At 35.7% G+C, this 27,295-nt stretch overlaps 1 protein-coding gene across 9 annotated transcripts in view, besides 1 other annotated feature; it reads left to right on the forward strand.

Moving 5' to 3' along the window:
• Nucleotides 1–27,295, forward strand: part of SLF1 (SMC5/6 complex localization factor 1) — a 79,391-nt gene that overhangs the window by 13,756 nt on the left and 38,340 nt on the right. For 6 of the 9 annotated variants that reach the window (XM_017009979.3, XM_047417830.1, NM_032290.4 and 3 more), the window contains exons 5-9: nt 11,287–11,449; nt 17,468–17,611; nt 19,716–19,859; nt 21,286–21,435; nt 22,644–22,766. In XM_017009979.3, coding sequence (XP_016865468.1) covers nt 11,287–11,449; nt 17,468–17,611; nt 19,716–19,859; nt 21,286–21,435; nt 22,644–22,766 — 724 coding nt within the window. The remainder of the gene's footprint in view (nt 1–11,286; nt 11,450–17,467; nt 17,612–19,715; nt 19,860–21,285; nt 21,436–22,643; nt 22,767–27,295) is intronic. The other 3 variants (XM_047417831.1, XM_024446235.2, XM_047417832.1) reach the window with 1 other exon arrangement.
• Nucleotides 966–1,465: an enhancer, noted in NCBI's record as "H3K4me1 hESC enhancer chr5:93968657-93969156 (GRCh37/hg19 assembly coordinates)". NCBI's record gives its function as "activates a minimal SCP1, AML or CMV promoter by ChIP-STARR-seq in primed H9 embryonic stem cells {active_cell/tissue: H9 hESC(primed)}" and the evidence as "EXISTENCE:reporter gene assay evidence [ECO:0000049][PMID:30033119]".

Consider the following 27,295-nt stretch of genomic DNA (forward strand, 5'->3'; position numbering starts at 1 on the left):
TTCCAAATTAAATTAGCCAGGCTTGGTGATGCATGTCCTAGTCCTAGCCACTTGGGAGGCTGAGGTGGGAAGATAGCCTAGAGCCCAGGAGTTGGAGGCTGCAGAGAGCTATGAACTGTTTTTCAAAGTAGTACCATTTTATATTCCCAGTAGTAGTGTATGAGAGTTCCTGTTGCTCTGAAGTTATTTTGGCACTGTTAACGAAAATCAATTGACCATGTATGTGTGGTCTATTTCTGGACTTCCTGTTTGGTTCCAGTGATCTCTATATCTACCTTATACCAACACTACACTGTTTTGGTTACTGTGTCTTTAAGTGAGTCTTGAAATTAGGTACTATGGGTTTCTTAACTTAGTCTTTTTAAAAGTTGTTTTAGTGAATCTGGATTCTTTGTATTTCCGTACACATTTTAGAATCACTGTCAATTTCTGTGAAAATGCAAACTGGTATTTTGATTGGGATTGTATTTTATAGGTCAAATCTTAACAATATTGAGTCTTCCTATTAGTGAACTATGTATTCTCCGCTTGTTCTTTAATGTCTTATAGTTCTCATTATATAAATCTTGCACATATTTTATTAAATTTATTCCTAGGTATTTTGTGTTTTGGGGTGCTATTATAGATTGCTCTTAAACTTTTTATCTGCATCTTTTGAGATAATTTGCTTTTCTCCTTTATTTTCTTAATATGTTGAATTATACTTGTTTGTTTCTTTTATTTATTTATTTTGAGACAGAGTCTCGGTCTGTCGCCCAGGCTGGAGTGCAGTGGTGCAATCTCGGCTCACTGGAAGCTCCGCCTCCCGGGTTCACGCCATTCTTCTGCCTCAGCCTCCTGAGTAGCTGGGACTACAGGTGCCCGGCTAATTTTCTGTATTTTTTAGTACAGGTGGGGTTTCACTGTGTTAGTCAGGATGGTCTTGATCTCCTGACCTCGTGATCTGCCCGCCTCGGCCTCCTAGAGTGGTGGAATTACAGGCTTGAGCCACCGCGCCCGACCTTTATTTTTTTAATTTTTTGAGGTAGCGTTTTGCTCTTGTTGCCCCGGCTGGAGTGCAGTGGCGTGATCTTGGCTCACCGCAACCTCTGCCTCCTGGGTTCAAACAATTCTGCCTCAGCCTCCCGAGTAGCTGGGACCACAGGCATATGCCATCACACCCGGCTAATTTTATATTTTTAGTAGAGATGGGGTTTCTCCATGTTGGTTAGGCTGGTCTCAAACTCCCGACCTCAGGTGATCCGCCCACCTCGGCCTCCCAAAGTGCTGGGATTACAGGCGTGAACCACTGCGACCGGCCACTTGATTCATTCTTAAATGTTAAACCAAACTTGTATTCTTGAGATAAACTGTACTTCATCATGGTGTATTTTTTCTGGTTCATTTTTAATATTTTGCTGATTCTATTTGCAATTTTTAAAAATGATTTTTGTATCCTAAACCTGATAAATGACATCTATGTAAATATCTAAACCTAATGTGATATTTAATGGTGAAAGATTTTTTCCCCCATGATTGGTAACAAGGCAAGGATGCTGACTCTTAAAATTTCTGTTTAGCATTTACTGGATGTACTAGCCATTGCAATAAGCCAGAAAAGAAATGAAGCATAAAATTGCAAAGAAAGAAAAATAATTGTCTTTATTTCCAAAGACATGGTTGTGTACTAAAAAATTTAACGAAGATACTAGAAGATCTCGCTAGTGAATTTAGCGAGATCAAAAGACAACAGATCACTGTATAAAACTTAATTGCATTCTCATATACTAGCAAAGAACAATTGGAAATTGAAATTTAAATTCTCATTTTGGTTTTATTAATTTTCTCTATTGTTTGTCATTTCATTGATTTCTGTCCTTGGTTTTATTATTTCCATACTTCTTGCTTTAGGCTTAATTTGCTTTCGTTATTTTTCTGTTTGTTTTTGAGGTAAAAACTTGGATCATTGATTTTAGACCTTTCTGTTTTTCTATTAGTTGCCCCCAAGCATTGCTTTATCCACATCCCACAAATTTGTATTAATCGTGTTTGCTTTTTTATTAAGTTCAGAGTATTTTTAAATTTTCGTTTCTTCTTTGACCCATTGATTATTTACAAGTTTATTATTTAATTCCCAATTACTGATAGAATAATTTAATTTTCTAACTGTAATTCAGATTAGTCATTACTTCTGTTAGTCCTATCAGCTTTTGCTTTATTTATACTGAATTCCTGTTATCAGTTGCATACGTATTTTCTCAATGGCCCTGATTTTGTAATTTTTATTTATTTTTTTCTATTACCTCAAACACTTGTCATTGTGTCCTTTGATCAACATTTCCTATTCCCCCACCTCCATCCAGCCTTTGGTAACCACCATTCTGCTCTCTGCACCTATGCGTTCAACTTTTAGGTTCTATAAATCTAATTTTCTTTGGACTTTCACATATAAGTTAAAAATAGTATTTGTCTTTCTGTGCTGGGATTGTTCACTTAGCATAATGTCCTCCAGTTCATCCATGTTGTTGCAAATGACATAATTTCTCTCTTTCTAAAGTCTACATATTATTCTATTTGTGTATATGTATATACTATATTTTCTTTATTCATTGATGTACACTTTAGGTTGGTTTTATAACTTGACTGTCGTGAATAATGCTGCAGTAAATATGGGAGTGCAGATAGCTCTTTAACATACTGGTTTATTAATTTCCATTCCCAACAACTAGGGAATACCAGGGCTCCCTTTTCTCGATACCTTCACTAATAATCATCTTTTTGATAATAAGCATTCTGACAGAACTGAGATGTAATTTTCATTTTCCTAATGATTAGTGATATTGAGCATTTAAAAATTTATCTGTTGGCCATTTGTTTATCTTGTTATGAGAAGTGTCTATTCAGATCCTTTGCCCATTTTTAATCAGGTTGTTTTCTTGCTATTGAGTTGAGTTCCTTGTATTTGGATATTAACCCTTTTTTACACATATGGCTTGAAAATATTATCTCCTATTCCACAGGTTGCCTCTTCATTCTCTTAAATGTTTCCTTTGCTGTGCAGAAGCTTTTTAGTTTTATGTAACCTCACTTTCCTGTTTTTGTTTTTGTTGGCTGAGCTTTGGAGTCAAATCCAAAAATTATTGCCCAGACTAATGTCCTGTAGTTTATCCCGTGTTTTTTTCTAATAGTTTTGCAGTTTCAGGTATAATGTTTACAGTTTTTCAATGTAAATTCTATTTTGTCTCATAGGAGTGTAGCTAGTCCTGCTCTCTTGGTTTTCGTTTACATGGAGTATCCTTTTCCATCCCTTCATTTTCACTCTGTGTGTCCTCAGAGGTGAAGTTGGTCTCCCGTAGGCAGTACATACTCGGCTTTTTTTTTTTTTTTTTTTTTTTTGCTTTTTCAATCTTTTTGACCACTCTATGTCTTTTGTTTGGAGAAGTTAATCCATTTATGTTTAGGGTTATTATCGGTGGGTAAGGAACTTACTGCTGCCATTTTGTAGTTTGTTTTCCAGTTGATTTGTATATACTGTGTTTCTTTCTTCCTATGTTGCTGTCTTCCATTGTGGTTTGATGGTTTTCTGTAGTGGTTTGCATTGATTCCCTTCTACTTATGTTTTGTGTATCTAGTAGAGATTTTCCTTTGTGGTTACCATGTAGTTATATAAAACATTTTATTCTTAGACTATGTCAAACTGATAACTTTGGTCATATATAATAACTCTACACATTTACTCTCCCCCATTTTATGTTTTGATGTCAAAATTTATATTATTTTCTAATTTGTATCCCCTGACAATTGTAGCTATGGTTCTTTTGATAGATTTGTCTATTAACCACTGCACTAGAGATAAAATTGCTTCACACACCACCATTTTAGTCCAGAGTATTCTGAATATGATTCTACATTACTTAGATTGTTAAGTTTTATACTTTTGTATGTTTTATGTTATTAGTGGCCTTTTGATATAGCTTAAAGAACTTTCTTTCATAATTCCTATCAGGCAGCCCTTATCATGATAAACTACTTTAGTTTTTGTTTGGGAAATTTTTAATTTCTCCCTTATTTCCGAAGAACAGTTTAGCCAGGTAAGTAAGGTATTGGCAGTTTTTTTCCTTTATCACTTTGAGTATATCATAGCCCTCTTTCCTGACTTGAAGTGTTTCTGCTTTCAAAGCCACTGGTAATTACGTTCAGACTCTTGTAGGTGATATGTTTCTTATCTCCTGCTGCTTTCAGAATTTTTTATTTGTCTTTGATTTTTGATAGTTTGATTATTATATACCTTGGTATACTCCTTTGGGTTAAATTTGATTAGAAACCACGATGCTTCTTGTCCCTGGATGTGGTCATCTTTTCCCAGATTTCAGAAGTTTTCAGCCATTATTTCCATAAATATGCTTTCTGGTCCCTTTCCTCTCTCTTCTGCTGATTTTATACAGTTATTAGGTCTCATAATTCCCATAGGCTTTCTTCATCCTTTGGGTTTTTTTGCTTCGCTGACTGGAAAATTTCAAACGTACTGTCTTTGAACTCACTGATTCTTTCCTCTGTTTGATTAAGCCTGCTGCTGTTGAAGTCTTCTGTTGCATTTTTCACTTTAGCAATTATATTCTTCATCTCCAAAATTTCCTATTTTGTTTTTGTTTATTCTTTTTCTTTGTCAGACTTCTTGTTTTGTTCATGTATTGTTTTCCATATTTTATTTAATTTTTAATCTGTATGTTCTTGTATTTTACTGATTTTTTTTTTTTTTTTTTTTTTTTTGAGATGGAACCTCACCCTGTCACCCAGGCTGGAGTGCAGTGGCACAATCTTGGCTCACTGCAACCTCCTCCTCCTGGGTTCAAGCGAATCCCCTGCCTCAGCCTCCCAAGTAGCTGGGACTACAGGCACCTGCCACCATGCCTGGCTAATTTTTTTGTATTTTTAGTGAAGATGGAGTTTTGCCATGTTGGCCAGGTTGGTTTTAAACTGCTGACCTTAAGTGATCCACCTACCTTGGCCTCCCAAAGTGCTGAGATTACAGGCATGGGCCACTATGCCTGGCCTGAACTTCTTTAAAGGGATTATTCTTTGTCTATCATTCTGTAGATCTATAGCTCTCCATTCCTTTAGGGTCCATTGTTGGAGCTTTGTTAATTTCTTTGGAGGTGCCCTGATTCTTTGTAATCTTTGAGTTTTTGCATTGGTCTCCTCATTTGTGGAGACAGCCACGTCTTCCAGGTGTTCTTTGGCAGGGACAGAATTTCACTGTTTAGTGATCACTGGGAGATCACTGCTTGTGATTCTGTATGGGCTGGTAATGACTCCAAGCAGGTAGAGCTTGCTTTCTGTTACTCTGTATGGCTGGGCTGCTACCTTTGCATTGATTTTGGAGAGGGGATTGTGCTGGCTGGGCTCTGCTGTTAGATAAAACCACTGGCTGAGCTCTGCAATCAGGCAGAGCTGCAGGCTAGGCACTGCAATTGTCTCCAGTTGGGCCAGGCTCAGGGTGTATTCCATGGCTAGGTACTACCAATATTTGAGATCTGCAGTTGGACAAAGTTGCAGGTTGTACCCCAAGATTAAGTAGAATTGCTGCTTAAGATGGATGGGCCTAACTGCTATGCTTAGTACAAATTACAACTGGGGTTTGCCTCACAGTCTTGGTGGGGCCTTGAGGTGGGCTTTGAAGCTAAGCTGAGCACTGTTTAAAGTTCTGAGTGTGGCAGAACTAGCCTCTGTACTTTAATGAAGTACACTGTGGTTAGCATCTCGTTCCCTAAATGGAGTCTTTGGATGTGTGTTAAGGCTGTACTGAATGCTGTTCTGCATATGGCAGAACTAGCCCCCACTCTGCCGAAATGCAGTGTGGCGGTCCTTTCCCATCCTAAGAAGAATCTTGGCATGAATGTTGAGGCTGCACAAAGTACTGTTGAAATTCCCAGTTGTGGCAGAACTAGCCCCTGGTTTTTTATATTGGTGATGTGGTGAGTCTCTCACTCCCTGGGTGAGGCCATGGGGTAGGATTTGAGGCTGGGCCTGGAGGCTGCCCATCTAGAGATTCCCGCCAGGTAGAACATCCCACAATAGCTTTGCAGGTGCTGTGCTGTTGACTGATACCTCTGATTTGGTGCCATTGATGGCAGGTATGTTGCGCTACCACCAAGATTTGTGCGCTGGTTTTTGTGAGCTCCACCTCCTTGCTTTGTTTCTTCTTCTTCTTATTTTTTATTTTATTTTTTTGAGACAGAGTCTCACTCTGTCACCCAGGCTGAAGTGCAGTGGCGCGATCTCAGCTCACTGCAACCTCCACCTCCCGGGTTCACGCCATTCTCTTGCCTCAGCCTCCCGAGTAGCTGGAACTACAGGTGCCCGCCACCACGCCAGCTAATTTTTTTTGTGTTTTTAGTAGGGACAGAGTTTCACCGTGTTAGCCAGGCTAGTCTCGATCTCTGACCTCGTGATCTGCCCGCCTCGGCCTCCCAAAGTGCTGGGATTACAGGCGTGAGCCACCACGCCTGGCCTCCTTGCTTTGTTTCTATCTGACCCCAGGTTGTCTAGCTGTGCCATTACCCCTTGTCCTCCCTTTGAGGTGACACATGAGTGGACTTCCTGAGATGTATCTCAGAATTCTATAAAAGCTCAATGCCTGCCTCCAGTTCTCTTTGCCCACAATAGTAACCGTGAGCCCTGGAGAATCCTTTCTGTGTGGCACTATGCCAACTTGGGTAAGGGAGAGGTGTGATGGGTCAAAGTGAGACCATTTGTTTTTGCCCTCTCACAGTTTTTATGAAGTTCTGTGGTTTACGCCGGTATCCCAGGCTTGATATTAATTGGATTTGTCTGATACTAATATAGCCACTTTAGCACTCCTTTGAGAAACATCAGCATGTACATCATTTTGTATTCTTTTACTTAAAATGGGTTTCTTTTAGACATTCTACAGTTGAGTCTTAAAAATGTAATTTGACAATTTCTGCCTTTAATTGCATTGTTGAGGACATTTACATTTAATTGTTGACAAATTGAATTAAATCTAGTATCTTGCTGTTTATTTTTTTCTCATCTCTTTTCTTTTCTTCCCTTTTTTTTTTTTTTTTTTTTTGAGATGGAGTCTGGCTCTGTTGCTCAGGCTGGAGTGCAGTGGCACCATCTTGGCTCACTGCAACCTCTGCCTCCCAAGTTCAAATGATGCTCCTGCCTCAGCTTCCCGAATAACTGGATAACAGGTGCACATCACCATGCTCGACTAATTTTTCTATTTTTATTAGAAACGGGGTTTCACCATGTTGGCCAGGCTGGTCTCGAACTTCTGACCTCAGGTGATTTGGCCACCTTGGCCTCCCAAAGTGCTGGGATTACAGGCGTGAGCCACTGCAGCCAGCCATCCCATCATTTCTTTATTCTGCTTTCCCTTTTTCCTTGACTTCTTTTCCACTAGTTCAGTGTTTTTAATGGTTTCCTTTAATCTCTGTATTAGATCTCTTTTTTTAATGGTTGCTGTAATATATACAGTGTCCATCTTTAACTGTTCATAGTCAAATGTCAAACAGTATCTTTTTGCAAGTAGTGCAGAAACCTTAAAACAATATACAGTTGACAGTTGAACAATGTGGGATTGGAGTGCTGACCCCCTGTGCAGTTGAAAATTCATGTATAACTTGACTCCCCAAAAACATAACTACTAGTAGCCTACTGTTGACTGGAAGCCTTACTGATAATGTAAACAGTTAACATAAATTTTGTTATAAGAAAATCATAAGAGAAAATATATTTACTATTCATTAAGTGAAAGTGGATCATCATAAACGTCTTCATCCTTGTTGCCTTCATATTGAGTAGGCTGAGTAGGAGGAAGGGTTGGTTTTGCTGTCTCAAGGGTAGCAGAGGCAAAAGAGGTGGAAGGGGAGGCAGGAGAGGCAGACACACTTGGTGTGTAACTTTTGTGGACCTGTGTTGTTCACGGGTCAACTGTATTTCCATTTGTTCTTCTATCCTTTTTTCTATTGTTGACCTCTGTGTATTATAAACTTCCAAATACATTGGTAATATTTTACTTTTGCTAGTCATTTACTTTTAAGATGATTAAAAATAATGAAATGTATCTTCAGTATTTGACTTCATTTTTGCCATTTCCTGGCATTAGTTTCTTTGTGTAGCTCCAGATTTTCCTCTGGTATCATACCTTTTTTTGCCTAAAGAACTCTTTTTAACAGTTCTTATAATGTAAGTGTGCTGGTAATGATTTATCTCATTTTTTATTTGAGAAGGTGTTTATTTTTGGAAGATATTTTTACTGCATATAGAATTATGGGTCGACAGTTTTTTTCACTTTAATTCGTAATTAAAGATTCTCTTCCACTTTCTTCTGGCTTACATAGTTCTGATGAGAACTCAGCTGTCATTCTTTTTTTCCGTTTGTATCATTTTGTCTTCCCTGGTTTTCTTCAAGATTTTCTCCTAGCCATTGGTTTTTACTAGTTTGATTATGATGTGTAGTAGAGTGTTTGTGTTTGTGTATTTTATTATTGATTTATTTTGCTTGAGGATCTCTGAGCTTGTGTATGTGGAGTTTTTTGGTTTTTATTAAATATGATACTCTCCAGCCATTATTTTTTAAATATTTCTTCCTTCATGTTGTTCTTCTGGAACTCCATTGCATGCCTTTTAAACTATTTGATTATTTTCAATAGCTATTGCATGCTTTGTTCTTTTTTTAAAAAAAAATTTTTAGTTGGGATAATTCTATTGACCAATCTTAAAATTCAGTGATTCCTTTTTCAGTTGTGTTCAGTCTGCAGATGAGCTTGTCGAAGAAATTCTTTGATATAATGCCTTTTATTTCTACCATTTCCATTGAACTCTCCAGTGAATTCCTCATTTCTTCAAGTATGTTGTCCACTTTTTCCATTAGTTCCTTTAACACATCAGTCACAGTTATGTTAAAGTTGTTTTCTGATAATTTCAACATGTGGGTCATATTTCAGTGTATACTGTTGATTCCTTTCTCTTAACAGTGGTTTGGTTTTCTTCTTGCCTATTTTGTATGTTGTGTATTTTTTTTATTGCATGCCGGATATCACATATACAAGAATATTGATAGAGGCTGATGTGAATATTTATATCCAAAAATTAGGCCTACCTCTTCTGTAAGGTGGTTAGTATGGGTGATTGAGTTAATCTTGTCAGTTGTTGAGCTAGTGCTATGGTGAATGTTGTTCCCTCCCGCCCGCCCCACCCCCCCACAAAAACTCATGTTGAAATTTAATTGCCATTGTGAAAGTATTGGAAGGTGGGGCCTTTAAGAAGGGATTAATGCCATTATCATGGGACTGGCTTGGTTATAAAAGTAAGCTCTTTCTCACATGGTCTCTCTTGCTCTTCTGCTTATCTTCATGGGATGATGCAGCAGGAAGGTTCTCATCAGATGCTCTTGGAGTTCTGAAAGTCCAAGAATAAAAACTTATTTTTCTTATAAATTACCAAGTCTTCAGTATTCTGTTAGAGCAGCAGAAAACAACAAGACAGCTGAATTTGAGTATTGTTAATTCTGTAATCACCATCAATGCATCACTTCAGCTTACAGCAGTGGGCTCCAGTTTCTTTGTGCTTATTATGGGGACTGGACTGGAATGCTGGAGCGTTTCTCATCACTATTCTTGCTCTGCCCTAGCTTTCAACAATCCTTAAACTACTAGGTCATAGAAGGTGTCTCTTTTCATGCTCTTCCTTTCTCTGTTGTTACTCAGCTTCAGGTCGAGGGTGTGGGTAGATATATTCTCAGTTTTGCTAGACAAGCTTCACCCTTAAGCATTTTCCATACTATTGGTCCCTGGGTTTGGGGCTTTCTCAGCATTTGTTTATCACACTTCCATGGCAGCTAAATTCTGCCTTGTACATGTAGGCAGTGGCCTGGGCAAGAGGGTTTCCGGCCTCTCCCCCAGTATTAGATCTCTCTTGTGTATTGATACAAGACCTGGGACCTAAGTGACATTCCTGCTGCTCCTTCAGGGAAGATGTTTTTTGCTTCTATCCCTCATCCGGAAACAGTGGGTATTTTTCCCAGGCTGGGCAGCAGCAGATTTTCCTAACCCTTGCCTAAGGGCAGGTAAGTTTTATTTCCACCCCTCCAAGAGAAGCAGTGCATCTTTTCCTAGGTCTGAAGGCAAAAGACTGTCTTATTCTTACCCAAATAACTTAAGGCTTTTGCTTTATATGAGAGAACGGTCTGGAGAAGTGGGCCTAGTTTTACATCTATCCGTTAATGGCAGCCAGTCACCACTAGCCCACTTATGCTGTCAAGGAGAGCTCCCTGCATTTCTCCTAACCTGCCTTCAATCTTTTTCATGAGCATTTAATGGAGTCATGTGGCAAAGAGCATGCTAGCGAGGACAGGTTTCCCTTATGTCACAGACTTTCAACTTTCTAAACTGTGATGCTAGCTATACTTGCCCCTTAAATTTTGTAAACTTTACTTAATTTTTACATGTTTTTATGGGAACTGTGTTGCTCCTTTGATCTGCCAAAAGTGAAATAGTTTGGTTGTCCAGTCTCTTCATAAAAGAGCTTATCCCTCTTCAGAAATCACCTTACTTGGTTGACTTGTTACCTCGGTTTTCTGATGGGGTCAATAAAAGTTAGGATTTTGTAGATTATTTGGCTTTTTCTTACTGTTAGGTGGTAGCCTCTCTTGTGGCTTTCTAAAGCCTAAGCAGAAGCAGAACTTCATGAAACTTTTGTGTTGTATGTCTGTCTCCCTTGTGTGTGTCTTCTTAGTCTAAATGTAAAATGTATTTTTTCATTTGTTTTTTTCTAATTTTATTTTTTTATTTTGTAAAATGTATTTCTTAACATAGATCAAGGCTAATTTTTTTTTAAGTAGTTCAAGGCTAAAATTTTTTGAAAGCTAACTTTTTAGGAGTGTTTGCAACTGGTTCCATATTTTATGGTCCAGAATTACTTTCTTGGGAGTACGTTACCTTTGAGGATAGCCGCTTCCTTAGACTTCTTTCATTATCTTTTGGTTTATTGACATGACTTTTCCTTAGGGAATACTTTAATATTCTTGGTCCCTAAAAGCCTTTCCTTTATCAAGAAATGGATAGGTAGAAAAACTACTATGATTTCTTAAATATCTACTCTGAACAATTTATAATTTAAGAAATTGCAGCCGTGTTCTCTGTGATCCTCAATTGCCCAAAGAAATTAGTCCCTATTAGAAAAGTCCATTCGTACTCCTAAGAAATAATTAATTTAGATAATTTGACTAAAGAAACTCAAATTTTCTAATACTTTTATACCATTTACATTTTTATTTAGAGTTTTGGAGGCTGGAAAGGCAAATGTTATTTTACCAAAAAGTTCACCAAGTGGAATAACTCATGTGATTGCCAGTAATGCAAGAATTAAAGCTGAGAAAGAAAAAGATAACTTTAAGGCTCCATTTTATCCAATTCAGTATCTAGGGGATTTTCTTTTAGAGGTAAGTAAAATAAATAGTAAACATTTTATTTTGTTTCATGTGTTCATTTTATAAAATACCAACATAGTAAAATATATATTAAAGTTGTGTTCTAAATTTTGAAACTACATTGGTAGTAATTTAAATGACACTTTTTAAAGGCAGTGGCTCTCAATTACTTAAATATTCATGAATACTTCCTGTAGATTTGAAAGAAGCTTACTAGTTAAGTTTAACATTAAGTATTTTAATGTCAGTATAAATAAAGTAGTAGAATATATAGTATTATATAGTATTGTATGAGAATTTGGGGGTTATTTTTCCTTTGGAAAAGAGAGCTATTTCTAAGGGTTTAGAAATACTGTCCTGTCCTATTCCCCTACATCCTCCTCCTTACTTGGTGTGGATGATGCTCCTCAAGTTGTTTGAATGGGCATCAAACCCTAGAAGAAACTGTCCAGGAGATAAGCAAAGAAGAATTTTAAGAGCACTCAGGGGAGAAGAGAACCCTTAGTATGTCCAAAAACGACCTTGTTATAGGAAAAATCATCTTCATTGTTTCCCATCTCGTAGATACCATTATGTTTTATCTAATACTTTATGTCAGAGATCTGGAAATTACCCTTAAAATCTTTCTCTCCCTTACTTCTCACATCTGTCAACTACTAAGTCTTACTGATTTTATCTCAAATGTTTCTTAAATCAAACCACTTCTCTCTTTCTGTACTAACATCATACTGAGTTTACCATCTTTCCTCTGCACTTCTGTACTAACATCATACTGAGTTTATCATCTTTCCTCAGCACTCCTGGAATAGGCTTGTGATTAATCTTCCTGTAACTCTACCTTTTTACTCTAATTTCCTAGTTACTCTTTCTTTTTCCTTTAGTATATTCTAGCTCATTCAGAAAGAGCAATCAAAATGCTCTTTCTAAAACAACTTTGATCCTGTCACTCACCTACGTAAAACTCTTCAGTGGCTTCCCATTGCTCTTAGGACAAAGTCCTAAATCTCTAATACGGCTTACAAGTTCCCACAGGATTCCTGTCATTTCTGTCTTTTCAATTGTATCCTGCTTCACTCTTATCTATGCTCACTATGCTATATGAAAACTCCTTCTCCCAGTGTCTTAAATAAGCTAAGCTACTCCTAACTCAGTGTCTTCTCAAAAGATACTTTCTCCTTCTGAAAAGTTATTCTCCACTACTCCTTCACTCTGTGGGTCTTCCTGCCTTCTGCTCATCTTTCAGGTTCCTGTTACAATGTTACTCTACAGGGAAGCCTCCTTGATCCCCTTACTCAGTGAGGTTCACCTATGTGTTCTCATAGCATTATTTAGCTTGGTACTCCTTACATTTACAGTTAAGTAATTGATTATTTGGTTAATGTCTATTTCCCCATGTAGACCAAAAGCTCCTTGTCATCAGGCATCGTGTCTGTCTTTTCCTTTGTTTTATTCTGATCACCTCACAAAGAGCCTGGCACATGGGTTCTCAATCAATATTTGTTAATAGAGAATTTGTGAAAGATGTTTGAGTCTTCCAAAATTACATGTAATATATCATTATATAGTTACCTTTCCCTAATGAGTAGCAGCAATGGATATTGGAAATTTGACTTTAGTTCAAGGAATAGGTCTGCTTGGACTATGGATAATCTCATTGTCCTTGACAGTCACTAGTTAGGAATGAGCATTTGAACCAATTCTGATCAATGGGTCATGAAGAGAAGTATGTAAGAGCTTCTAGGAAGTTGCTTTCTCATAATGAGAAGAAAGCCACTGATGGGCTGACTCCTGCTAGTTATGAACACAGAAGAATGTAACCTGAAATACTACTGGTTAACCATGAAAAGAACTCGCCTTAGGGTGAAACCAGCCCTGTAGTTAGCAGAGTGTAGACATAGAATCTAGACCCTGGCGCTACTTAAGTTGCTGGATTAAACAACACTGAAACCTGTTTTACGATTAGATCACATTGCTTTTCTGTGTGGTAATTCATTTCCATGTTGTTTAAGTTAGTTTGGGTTGGTTTTCTATTATTTGTAGCCAAAAGCACATTATCTGATAGACCGCTCGGAATAGTTTAAATGTAGTATTAACTATGAAGAGAACGAAAGTTGTTCTTAACTAGATTAGTAAAGGTATATTAATTTTCTTTTTTACTTGGAAAATAATGCTTAAAGTGCAACATATACCATGCATTATCTACAATATTATTTTGCAGTATTCTAACAACATTCATATCCAGCTGCTGAAATAGTGGAGGGCAGCAATAGTATATCAACCAGATAGCAGAAAGTCTCCAACTTATATTTGGTTTTAGAATACATTGTTTTATAAGTTCTGGATCAAACAGCTGGGAGTTCATAACCAATCCAAATAAGGAAGGCATATTGTGATCACTTCTGATCACAGAAGAAGAGACATTAGAAAGTTAACTGTATTTCAGTGTCTTGCTTTTCTTCAGTGTAGATCATATTCCAGTCCTCATTAGATGGATCTTGAAGTGTCATCCAAGAAAAGCTGCCATGTAAAATGACTGAGTTAATAGTAACAAGCCAGGCGTGGTGGTTCTGTAATCCAAGCACTTTGGGAAGCTGAGGCAGGAGGATCACTTGAGGCTAGGAGTTTGAGACCAGCCTAAGCAACGTAGCGAGACTCCATATATACAAAAAATTTTTAAAATTTGCTGGATGTGGTGGCACACCTATAGTTCTAGCTACTCTTAAGCTGAGGCAGGTTTGCTTTAGCCCAGGATGTTGAGGCTGCAGTTAGCACTATGATTGTGCCACTGCACTCCAGCCTGAGCAACAGAGTGAGACCTTGTCCCCCTTTTTTTTAAGGTAACATTGTATTTTTTAAAAAAGTTTTGTTTAACCCTCTTATACTTTTTGAAAAGCTTCTGAGTACCAGAACTGGAAATCTATGTATTTCAGGTTTATAGATATTTATCGAAGACCATTGCTGTACCAGGCATTATGCAGTGCATTAGGGATATGAAAATGAATGACCATATATCACACTTTGAGATGCTTAGTATTTAGCAATGGAGAAAAAGCATGGACACTGTTACTTGCAATTCATATGAATCGTGCATTTGTAAAACTATGTGCAAGGTACAGGAATACAGAGGAACAAATGACTAACGTATCTCAATTGTTTGGCCCAAGGAAGGTTTCATAAAAATGAGAGGCTACCTAGGAATACTGAAAACTTATCTTGACTACTTAAGAAAGAAAAATGAACTACAGCAGTCTTATGGGAATATATTAGGAATAACAGAAACAGCATAGACTTTTTGAGCCAGATCAACTAATTTGTGGTCCACATTTATAATGTAGCACTGTGACCATAGGAAAGTCATTTCTTGTGTCCCTCAGTTTCTCCCTTTGTGTGTAGAAGCTAATACTACATTGCTTTGGTGATTGTGAGAATTATTACTATTACTACCTTGAGTAATAGTTACTGAGTGATTATTATGGGTCAGGCTATATGTTAAGCATTTTACATGCTTAGTCATATTTAAACCTCATGTTCATGTGTGGTATGTATTATGACTCCATTTACTGTTTGGGATAAATTTTGAGGTAAAATGAGGGTAAGTAACTTGCCCAAGATCCCACAGCTGTCATGTATCAGAGCAGAAACTTAAAGCCAACCACTCAATAAATTTTAAGGTTTCTTTCCTCAAATCTTCCTTTCCTAGATCCTTTTTGTCTCCCCATTTTGAGTATTATTAGATTTCCAGTCTCTTTGTAGGTAGTTAAAAAATAATAAATGCTGTAATTGATACCATAAACGAATATCTAGTCATAGGATTGTGAAATACTATTTAAGCATCAGGGTATAAGTACAAGTTAAGAACCAAGTAGCACTCAAAGGACTGCCTTTCTTGATTTATATGTCTCTTCTTCTTCTTATGCATCTGGTCTAATCAGTTCATTCAAGTTGTGTGACAGACGCTTTGGCTGAATATTGGAATAAGACGTGGAGACCAGAGCATCTCAATTATACCTAGCCAAAGATAGGAAACTAAGTCAAATATCAGAATCAAAAGCCAACTCTCATTGCCACAACTGTGTTGCCCTACTCCTAGATAATAGAATAGGTAGCTGATTAAGCAGGCTTTTAGTTATCCTTTAGTGCATAGCACTATACTTTACAAAATATACTAGTCTTGGACTGGCTTTCCTAGATTATAAAAGGAGACAAACACCTAACCCATTGCCTAGTACGTAAGTTGACACTAAGATACTTATAAGGAATAAAAATGACTATTTATAGTTAAATAATTTCTCTATATTTCATAAGAGTCACCAATTAGACAAAGTATTAGTGGCTTAGAGAAAAATATGTGGATCATTTGTTTAGCTGTATAGATAATAGATTATTCAATTTCAAAACTTTCAAATGTTATACCTTCTGTATCAGGTTGTGATTTTTAAATAGTTAACTTATGTAGGGTACTAGTATCATACATCTTAATTTACAGATTCATATGTAGCATCTGAAATGGACACATAAGTAAATATATTCAGGATTAGGAAACAGTTTATTTCTTGCCTTGTTGCTGATGATAGTGGTATGTTCCCTGCATTCTCCATAATGAGAATGTATATGGGATTAATTCATCCTGTATTCTGGACATTTTTTGAGGACCTAAGCCTATGGATTTATCCTCCCATTACCAACCATGTAAAATTTAATGCCAGGTACTCATTTCCCCCCACCTGCAAGTTACACTTAACAGAAATTGTTGTTGATACATTCTTTGGTCCCAGTAATAGGAAGGGAGAAAAGTCTTTATTTTCTTAGTTTTCATTTTCACCTTTCTGAGTTGCTGAAAAAGAAATTCAATCAGCTATTCTCAGGGATTATTCTGTGGTTTCAGGATTGCAGCCTGCTAAAAGGAACGGCCCTCATTTTAACATAGGAAGCCAAGTGCGAGTGAGAGGGAACTAAAGATCACGTTAAAGGCCTTAACACGTTTTGTTTTTTTTATAATTGTTCCCTAGGAAGACTGTGATTCTTCAGTCTCTTTGGGTAGAGATTGTGAATCTCTGAAAATAGCCTTTCTTTCTTTAGATGGAGTCTCGCTCTGTTACCCAGGCTGGAGTGCAGTGGTGTGATCTTGGCTCACTGCAGCCTCCGCCTCCCAAGTTCAAGCAATTCTCCTGCCTCGGCCTCCCGAGTAGCTGAGATTACAGGCATGTGCCACCATGGCTGGCTAATTTTTGTATTTTTAGTAGCGATGGGGTTTCACCATGTTGGGCAGGATGGTCTTGATCTTCTGACCTCGTGATCCACCCGCCTTGGCTTCCCAAAGTGCTGGGATTACAGGCATGAGCCACCGTGCCCAGCCTGAACAGCCTCTCATAAGTACATTTTGGGAACTGTCATGAACTTTTACTCCCAGCTTGTTTATATTACTAAACTTACAGAATTATATGTATAAGTATGTATGCAATGAATTTTAAAATAATTATTGGAAGTTGATTTATGAATGCAGTTTGGGTTCCTTGGCAAGAGAAATTTTGTTGTTTGAGATAGAGCTACATTAAGATAATTGTTGTTTATTGCTATTCAAGTAAGAGTATTGTGTAACCTTTTCCTCTCTATGTGGGGTATACTTGCAAGTGAGAAGTCTTACCAGGAAAAAACTGAAAAATAATCCAAGAAGAAGTCTGTCTATAATTGATGATTTGTAAAATCTAGATTGTAACTTTAGCTTGGACAGGGACTAGATAAAATATTTTTGTTCTTGGTTATTCATAAAAATGACTTGTTAGTAGATGAACAAAGCATTACCTTTTCTTGAGATATACAGAAATCACTTTATTATTCAGGACCTTTACTATCATGATTTTTTCCCTGAAAGATTTTTATCAGTGTTTAACATCCTTTGATTTAAGAGGGTGCATTTTACCTACTTGTTTGACTAACAAAGTATTATAGTTAAAGTTGAGTACCATAAAACGTACATAATATTGAAAATACACTTAGATGATTGCCTAAACCATTTTTACATACATACAGAAAGAAATTCAGAATGATGAAGATTCCCAAACCAATTCTGTTTGGACTGAACATAGCAATGAAGAAACAAACAAAGATTTCAGGAAAGATGCAGGATTTCTTGAAATGAAAGGTGCCTTAAGAGAGACCATGTATAGAACCCAGGTAAACTTTATAGGCTGAAAAACATACATTTCTGATGTTTCTTATAGAATTGTTTAAGAGGCAAAGTATGGTGGAAAAAATAGATTTTGGAATCAGAAGGCTGGTGTTTGAACCATGTGTTTATAGTCTGTGACTTGAACATGTTAGGAAATTGTCCTATGTCTCTGGGAACTCTTGTTGAAGTAATGTTTGTATGCATATAGAAATACACAGAGTTCCTTATACATAGTGCGTTCTCAACACATGGTAATTACTTATGTAATTACCATGTTTAGGTAACTTACTTATGTTTAGGTAACATCGTGTGTCTTATAAAGCATTTTTCTTACCTGAGAGCACAATATATAATTCATGTAAATTCAAGTATTTATATAGAATAAAATTTAAAAATACACAAATGAAGTCTATTTTGATTAACTTGTAAAACAATAAAACAGGAAGGACTTTGAACTTGGAGCAATAAAAAGTACCTCAAGAAAGCACATATGGTATGGTGGCTGTCAAGTACAACTTTTCAAATAGCAGTAGCAGCCACAAAAAGGACATTATTAGTTCTGCTCTAGAAGAGCTAATGTTCAGTTATGTTCACTTTCATATTGTGTTTTATAAAGCAGTCTATTTGGTTAATTTATCAAATTATTAAGTTGATAATTATTAGTCTAAACTAAAAGTTTTATGTATAACTAAGAAGAAATTCAAAATAAATTGTTTTTACCATATCTGTCAAGTATTTTTGAAAGGTAATTCTAGGAATAATTTGGAACATTTTTTTTTTTTTTTTTTGAGACAGAGTCTTGCTGTTTCGCCCAGGCTGGACTGCAGTGGCACTATCTCGGCTCACTGCAAGCTCTGCCTCCTGGGTTCACGCCATTCTCCTGCCTCAGCCTCCCGAGTAGCTGGGACTACAGGAGCCCGCCATTGCGCCTGGCTAATTTTTTGTATTTTCTTAGTAGAGACGGGGTTTCACCATGTTAACCAGGATGGTCTCCATCTCCTGACCTCGTGATCCGCCCGCCTCGGCCTCCCAAAGTGCTGGGATTACATAGTTCCTTAAGAAATTGTATATGGCAAGATTTGCTAGAACTTTCCAAACTTAAAATATTTTTGCATTTTTTTCTGACTTTTCCAGTGTATATTTATATTTATGTGACTTAGAAGACTACTTTTTGTAATTTACTATATGTGCATGTTTTAATGAGAAGCTTTTTTGAGTTGATGTGCCTCTTGTGAAATATACATTGTAAACCACAGTGTATAGCATTTTTACATATAGAAAGGAATGTAGAATGAAGATGGAGTTATTAAAATAATTTAGTTTTGAATAAACATGGCAAAAGAATAAAATAGAAATTTTGTAAGATAAATGGAAATCATTAAAATACATCTACAGTCATGTACACATAATGATGTTTTGGTCAACAACGGACCCCATATATGATAGTATCTTATAGTCCCATAAGATAATAATACCATATTTTTACTGTATCCTTTCTATGTTTAGATACACTAATACTCAGCATTGTGTTGCAGTTGCCTATAGCATTTAATACTGTAACATGTCATAAAGATTTGTAACTTAGGAGCGATAGACCATACCATATAGACTAGGTGTGTAGTAGACTATACCATCTAGGTTTGTGTAGGTAGACTCTGATGTTCGCACAATGACGAAATCAACTAACGATGTACTTCTCAAAACATATCCCCATCGTTAAGCAGTGCATGACTGTATATATGTCTTCTTGAGTTCTTTTTAGGACTCAAATTATGTATGTAAAATTCAAGTAGAAATATCCTTTTTTAAAAATAGCTATTTTGGTATAATGATTAAACAACATGATTTGTAATACTCATTAATCGGAATTCAGCACATAGGTAAACTAAAGCATATATGTTAACGTACTATAAAGCTTTGTGAACTGAAAACAATTATGTTCTGCTTTATCTTACATAATTCAGAGGGTTCTTTACTCTATTTAACCTTGTATGTATATTTTACAAAATCTATGTTCCTGGATGGGTTTTTCTTTTGTGACTTGTGTTGATTGTGTTAAGGCTATATTTAATCCACAGTCTTAACTAAATTATGTTTACAAACACGCAGAAAGAAATGCAAAATCATGAAGATGTTAATGTTGGTTCTATTTTGATTCAACATCACAAAAAAGAAAAATTCAGTGGTTCCAGTAAAGATTTGAAATTTGTTAAAATGAGAAATACCTTTGGAAGCCATACATATGAAAATCAGGTACAACTTTCCAAATTAAAAATAATTTATTTTTAATATATATAGTGTTTATAGAACAGTTTTCTTTAGCTTTTAAAAAATATATAAAAATGAGTTATGTATCCAATAGCTAGATTAAGAAATAGAGCATTACCAGTTTTTAAGACCTGCTGTATTATTTTCTTTTTTCTTTTTTTTTTTTGAGATGGAGTCTTGCTCTGTTACCAGGCTGGAATGCACTGGCACAATCTTAGCTCACTGCAACCTCTGCCTCCTGGGTTCAAGCAATTCTCCTGCCTCAGCCTCCCAAGTAGCTGGGACTACAGGCACACACCACCACGCCTGGCTAATTTTTGTAATTTTTTCAGTAGAGACTGGGTTTCACCATGTTGGCCAGGATGGTCTTGATCTCTTGACCTTGTAATCTGCCCACCTCCGCCTCCCAAAGTACTTGGATTACAGGCGTGAGCCACTGCGCCCAGCCTGCTATATCATTTTCTAATGCATCCCCTTTCTCCCTCTTACCTAGAAGTAATCTTTGTCTTAGAATTTGTGTTAATTATTTTCTTATTTTTCATTATAGTTTTAACAGCTGTGTGTGTATCTCTAACTGATATGGTTTAGCTTTGTCTATTCATGAACATTTTATAGTTTATGTTATTTATAGACTTCTTTTGCTAATGTATATAAAATTTTATTGTTTGACTATGCCACAATTATATCTTTTATCCATTTTACTGTTGATAAGCCTTTGGGCTTCTTTTTATTGGTTTATGTGTTTGATTGTTAAGTTTTTGCAATTATGAACAATTCTGCTATGAATAATATGAACATTATCTTGTATACCTCTTGGGATACATATTTAGTAATTTCTCTAGCTTAGTTGGTATATTCCTAGGAATGGAGTTGCTGGGTCATAAGGAGTGTGCATGTTCAACTATACTAGGCAGTGTCCGACTTTTTTCAAAATATTTTACTAATGTACACCTACTCTGTCAATGGATGAGATTTTCTGTTGTACGTACTTCTTTATTTTTATTTCTATTTTTTGAGATGGAGTTTCACTCTAGTTGCTCAGGCTGGAGTGCAATGGCGCAATCTCAGCTCGCCACAACCTCCGCCTTCCAGGTTCAAGCGATTCACCTGCCTCAGCCTCCCAAGTAGCTGGGATTACAGGCATGTGCCACCACGCCTGGCTAATTTTGTATTTTTAGTGGAAATGGGATTTCTCCATGTTGGTCAGGCTGGTCTCTAACTCCCGACCTCAGGTGATCCGCCCGCCTTGGCCTCCCAAAGTGCAGAGATTACAGGCATGAGCCACCGCGCCCGGCCGTACTTCTTTATTTTTTAATGTGTATGAAAGTATGAAAGTCACTCTTGAGTTTATTTGGATTTTGTAACATATGTCATTGATGTTGAGATTTAATTGTGGTCTAAATACATGTAGAAGGAAATTAAGAAAAAAGATGAAGATATTCAGAGGAGTTATACTTTGAGGAGAAAACGCAAGAAAGGAAAAGAAAGCAATTGCAAGAAAGGCGTTGAACATGAAAAAATAAAAAGTACCTTAAGAAGGCACATATATAATAGAGATCAGGTAAAGTTTGTAAGCTAAGCTATAGCTTTCTTTTTTATTTTTTGGCTGTTCTCTGATATAATCTAGATATATAATGCTACATGTTTTAAGAAAAAATCTTGAGTCAATCTGGTGTAATATTCATAGTTAATATTCCAGTTAACTTTGGTTCACAGTAAATGTACTTGTACATGCATATACAAAGAAATCTGAGTTAATAATCAAGGTATTCAGTGAATTTTGTTTTGCCTGAATGTGATGAATAAGAAAAAGAAACTGGAAAAGACTATTTCTTAAAATGAAAAAATCTTTAAAACTACATGTGTGTATAGTTGGGTAATACTTTCTAATGTAAATTTTATTTTGCTCTTTTGTATAGTACAGACCATTTTTAATGAGATGTCTTGTTTTTAAAATTGAATGCTTCTTGGGTAAATTTTTTCTGGAGTATGACTTTTTTTTTTTTTAACGATCTAAACCATACCATGGGCTGGATGCGGTGGCTCACACCTGTAATCCCAGCACTCTGGGAGGCCAACGGGGCAGATTGCTTGAGCTCTGCAGTTGGAGACCAGACTGGGCAACATGGTGAAACCCCATGTCTACCAAAAATACAAAAAATTAGCTGGCATGGTAGTAGGTGCCTGTGGTTCCAGCTGCTTGGGAGGCTGAAGTGGGAGGATTGCTTGAGCCTCGGAGGCAGAGGTTGCAGTGAGCCAAGATTGCACCACTGCACTCCAGCCTGGGTGACAAGAGTAAGACCCCATCTCAAAAATAAATACCTAAATACATAAATAAATGCCATATTATGTATATATGCATATATTCAGAAGAATTTCAGGAAAATGATAAAGGTAAATAAGTAATGAATTTTGTTTTGTATGACCATGGCAACAACAAAAAAGCAGTTCCAGGAACAATTTGGAACAGGATAAATGAAAAGTGCCTTAAGAAAGTACATATGTTGGCAGGAGCAAATAAAAAGAGTAAAAAGAAAAAAAAAAAAAAAGAAAGTACATATGTAAATATCAGTTAATTCTTTACAAATTGAAATGTTTGCTTTTTGAGCTTTTTCTTTCATTGTGTAATCTTGATATATGATTGTGAGGATCTTTGCTGTGGTTAACATGGTATGAATGTGTTCCTCTTATATTGTCCTTTGTGATATCATCTGTGTTGACACTGTCTTTAGTACATTTTCTAAAGTCATTTTACTTTGCTATATGCAGAAAGAAATGAAGAATTCTATTTTTGCTGAATATGCCAAAGAATCAAAAGCCATGGCTATTAAGACAGATGTGGATGTTGTTGAAATAAAAAATACCTTAAGGAAGCACATATATAGAGCTCAGGTAAAACTTGGCACATGAAAAATTTTGTATAATATCGTGTCTTACTGTAGTGTATTCAAAATATAATTATATATACATATATACATATGATTCATTAGTATGTTTAATATGTCTTAAAATGATTTTCTTAGTTTATTAGTCTATTATACAGTAATGTATTTGGACATTTAGTAAATAGGCTGAATTCTGTGCTATTTATACCTCAATAATGTCACAGATAAGTCATGTGTTTGAAGTCTTGGCCATAAATTCTTTGCCTACATCAATGCCCCGAAGTGTTTCCCCTGTGTTTTCTTCTAGTAGTTTTATAGTTTCAGGTTTTACCTGGAAGTCTTTAATTCATTTTGAGTTGATTTTTGTATATGGTGAAGAAATAACAGTCTAGTTTTCATTCTGCTTATGATTATCCAGTTTTCCCAACATCATTTATTGAAGACTGTCCTTTCCCCCGTGAGTGTTCTTGGCACCTTGTCCAAAATCAGTTTGCTTTAAATATGTGGATTTATTTTTGGATTCTCTGTTCTTCACTGGTCTATATGTCTGTTTTTATACCAGTACCATGCTGTTTGGGTTACTATAGCTTTGTGGTATACTTTGAAGTCAAGTAGTGTGTGCCTCCAGCTCAGCATTGCTTTGGGTATTTATAGTCCTTCTTGCTCAGCATTGCTTTGGGTATTTAGGGTCTTTTGCAGTTGTTTACAAATTTTAGGATTGTTTTTCCTGTTTCACAGAAGAATGTCATTGATATTTTGATAGGGATTCCATTAAATTTGTAGATTACTTTGGGCAATTTGGTTATTTTAACCATATTCTTCAAACTCATAAACATGGAATGTCTTTCCATTTGTTTGTGTCCATGTCGATTTCTTTCATCAGTGTTTTTTCGTTTTTTCCTTGTAGAGATCTTTCACCTCCTTGGTTAAATATATTCCTAGGTATTTTATAATTTTTAGAGCTCTTCTAAATGGGATTGCTTCTGTGATTGATTTATAGCTAGTTCATTATTGGCATATAGAAATGCTACTGATTTTTGAATGTTAACTTTTTATCTCACAGCTTTACTGAATTCATTTATCAGTTTTAAGTGATTTTTTTTTTGTCAAGTCTTCATGTTTTTCTACATATGAGATCATGTCGTCTCCAGAGAGGGACAATTTTACTTTTCCAATTTGGATGCCTTTTCTTTCTTTTCCTTGCCTGATTGCTCTGGTGAGGATGACTTTCAGTATTAGGTTGAATAAAAGTTGTAAAAGTAGGCATTCTTTTCTAGTTTCAGTCCTTAGGGAATGGCTTTCATGGTTTTCCCATTTCACATAAGGTAGCTATAGGTTTGTCATGTATGACCTTTGTTATGTTGAAGTACTTCTGTGCCTAGTTGGTTGAGAGTTTTCATCATGAAGGGATGTTGAAGAAATTTTATTAAAAGCTTTTTTGCATATATTGAAATGATCATATAGTTTTTGTCCTTCATTTTGTTTTTATTAATTTACTTATTTGTGTATGTTGAACCATCCTTGCATCCTTGGGATAAATCATAGTGTACACTTGATCATAGTGTATTGACTATGACAATACACTATGATCAATACACTTGATCATAGTGTACTGACTCTTTGCTATGTTGTTGGATTTAGTTTGCTAGCATTTTGTTAAGGATTTTTGCATCTGCTTTTCTCAGGGATATTGCCCTGTAGTTTTCTTTTTGTGTTGTGTCTTTGTCTGGTTTTGGTATCAGGGTAATGGTGGCCTTGTAGAACGAGTTAGGTAGAATTCCCTACCCTTCAGTTTTTTTGAAACAGTTTAAAAAGTGCTGTTGATAGTTCTTTATACATTTGGTTGAATTCAGCAATAAAGTCTTTTGGTCCTCGGCTTTTTATTTGTTGTGAGAGTTTTATTACTGATTAAATCTCATTGGTCTGTTCAGGTTTTCTGTTTCTTTCTGATTCAGTCTTGGTAGGTTATATGTGTCCAGGAATTTATCCATTTCCCCTAAGTTTTCTGATTCGTTGGTGTATAGTTCATAATAGTCTCTAATATTCTTTTGTGTTTCTGTGATATCAATTATAATGTGTCCTTTTTCACTTCTGATTTTATTTATTTGGGGTTTTTTCTTTTTTGTCTTTGTTAGTCTTGCTAATGGCTTATTGATTTTGTTTAACTTTTAAAAAAAATTAACTTATTTGTTTCATTGATCTTATGTGTTTTTAAGTCTATTTTGTTTCGTTCTGCTCTTTATTATTTATTTAAAATTTATTTATATATCTTTAATAAATATTTATTAATTTATAATTAATCTAAATAATAATAGATCTTTATTATTTCCTTCTACTAATTTGGGGTTTGGTTTGTTCTTGCTCTTCTTCTTCCTTGAGGTGCATTGTTAAGTTGATTATTTGAGATCTTTCTACTTTTTAGATATTAGGCATTTTTTCTATAAATGTGCCTTTTAGCACTGCTTTTGCTGTATTCTATAGGTTTTGGTATGTTGTGTTTCCATTTTTATTTATTATAAGAAATGTTTTATTTCCTTCTCAATTACTTCATTGATCCAATGGTCGTTTAGGAACATGTGATTTTATTTACGTGTATTTGTACAGTTTCCAAAGTTTTTCTTACTGATTTTTAGTTTTATTCCATTGTTGTCTGAGAAAGATATTTGATATGACTTCAGATCTTTTCAAATGTGTTGAGATTTGTTGTGTGGCCTAATGTCTGTCCGGAAGAATGTCCCATATACTAATGAGAAGAATGTGTATTCTGAAGCTGTTAGATAAAATGTTCTCTAAATGTCTGTTAGGTTCATTTGTTCTAAAGTGCAGTTTAAATCCAATGTCTGTTTTTTGATTTTCTGTTTCGATAATCTGTCCAATGCTTAGAATGGGGTATTAGAGTCCCCAATTGTTACTGTGTTGAAGTCTCTGTCTCCCTCTAGATCTAGGTGCTCCAAGATCTGGATTTATATATCTGGGTGCTCCAAGTTGGGTACATAGATATTTAGAATTGTTATATCTTCTTGCGGAATTGATCTTTTTATCAGTATGTAATGACCTTCTTTATCTCTTTTTACAGTTTTTAACTTAGAAAGTTTTTTCTGATGTAAGTATAGCTACTTCTGCTCGCTTTGGTTTCCGTTCTTGTGGAATATCTTTTTCCATTCTTCTTCACTTTCAGTCTTTACATGTTTTAACAGGTGGAGAGAGTTTCTTATAGGCAACACACTGCTTTTTTAATACATGTAGCCAGTCAGCCAGTCTATATCTTTTATGTGGAGAATTTAATCCATCTACATTCAAGGTTATTATGGGTGAGGACTTACTTGTGTTATTTTGTTAATTGTTTTGTGGTTGTTTTGTGTGTCCTTTTTTTCATTTCTTCTTTTATTGTTTGTCATTGCAGTTGGGTGTTTTTTGTTTTTTTTTTTTTAGTATTGGTGACATTTGGCTCTTTTCTCATTTGTATTTTTGCTTTACAGTGAGTTTTATACTTTCTTGTGTTTTCATGGTGGTAGATATCATCCGTTTGCTTCCAATTGTAGGACTTGCGTAAACATTTTTTGTGTGGTTGGTCTGTTAGTAATGAATTCTCTGTTTTTGCTTGTCCAGGAAATACTTTATTTCTCCATTATTTTTGAAGGATAGGTTTTCTGGGTATAATATTCTTGCCTGTTGAGTTGGGTTTGTTGTTGTTGTTGTTGTTGTTGTTGTTTTTTCCTTTCAACACTATGAATGTGTCATCTTATTCTTTCCTGGCTTATAAGGCTTCTGCTGAGAAATCTGTTGTCACCCTGATTGGGATTTCCTTATATGTGACTTTATGCTTTTTCTCTTGATGTTTTTAGAATTCTTTCTTTGTCTTTGACTTTTGATAGTTTGACTGTAATGTGCCTTGGAGACCTTTGAGAATTGAATCTATTTGGAAATAGCTCTTACAACACTTGGGACGTTTTCAGCTATTGTTTTTAAAATAGGTTTTCTATGCCTTTGCCCATCACTTCTCCATCTGGAAATCTGAAAATTGGAATATTTCATTACTTTATGCCTTCCCATATGTCATTTAGGCTTTTTTTTCGTTTTGTCTGTTATTTCAAAAGACCTGTCTTCATGTTTAGAAATAGTTTCTTTTGCTTGATCTAGTCTATTGCTGAAGCTCTCTGTTATATATTTTTTTTCATTCATTGAATTCTTAAGTTCCAGGATTTCAAAAGACCTGTCTTCATGTTTAGAAATAGTTTCTTTTGCTTGATCTAGTCTATTGCTGAAGCTCTCTGTTATATATTTTTTTTCATTCATTGAATTCTTAAGTTCCAGGATTTCAAAAGACCTGTCTTCATGTTTAGAAATAGTTTCTTTTGCTTGATCTAGTCTATTGCTGAAGCTCTCTGTTATATATTTTTTTTCATTCATTGAATTCTTAAGTTCCAGGATTTCTGTTTGGTTCTTTTCTATGATTATCTCTTTGTTGAATTTCTCATTGAGATCATGAATTATTTTCCTGCTTACCTTGTATTGTTCATCTGTGTACTTTTCTAT

The sequence above is a fragment of the Homo sapiens genome, chromosome 5 (genome assembly GCF_000001405.40).
Source record: "Homo sapiens chromosome 5, GRCh38.p14 Primary Assembly".
Classification (NCBI taxonomy): Eukaryota; Metazoa; Chordata; class Mammalia; order Primates; family Hominidae; genus Homo; species Homo sapiens.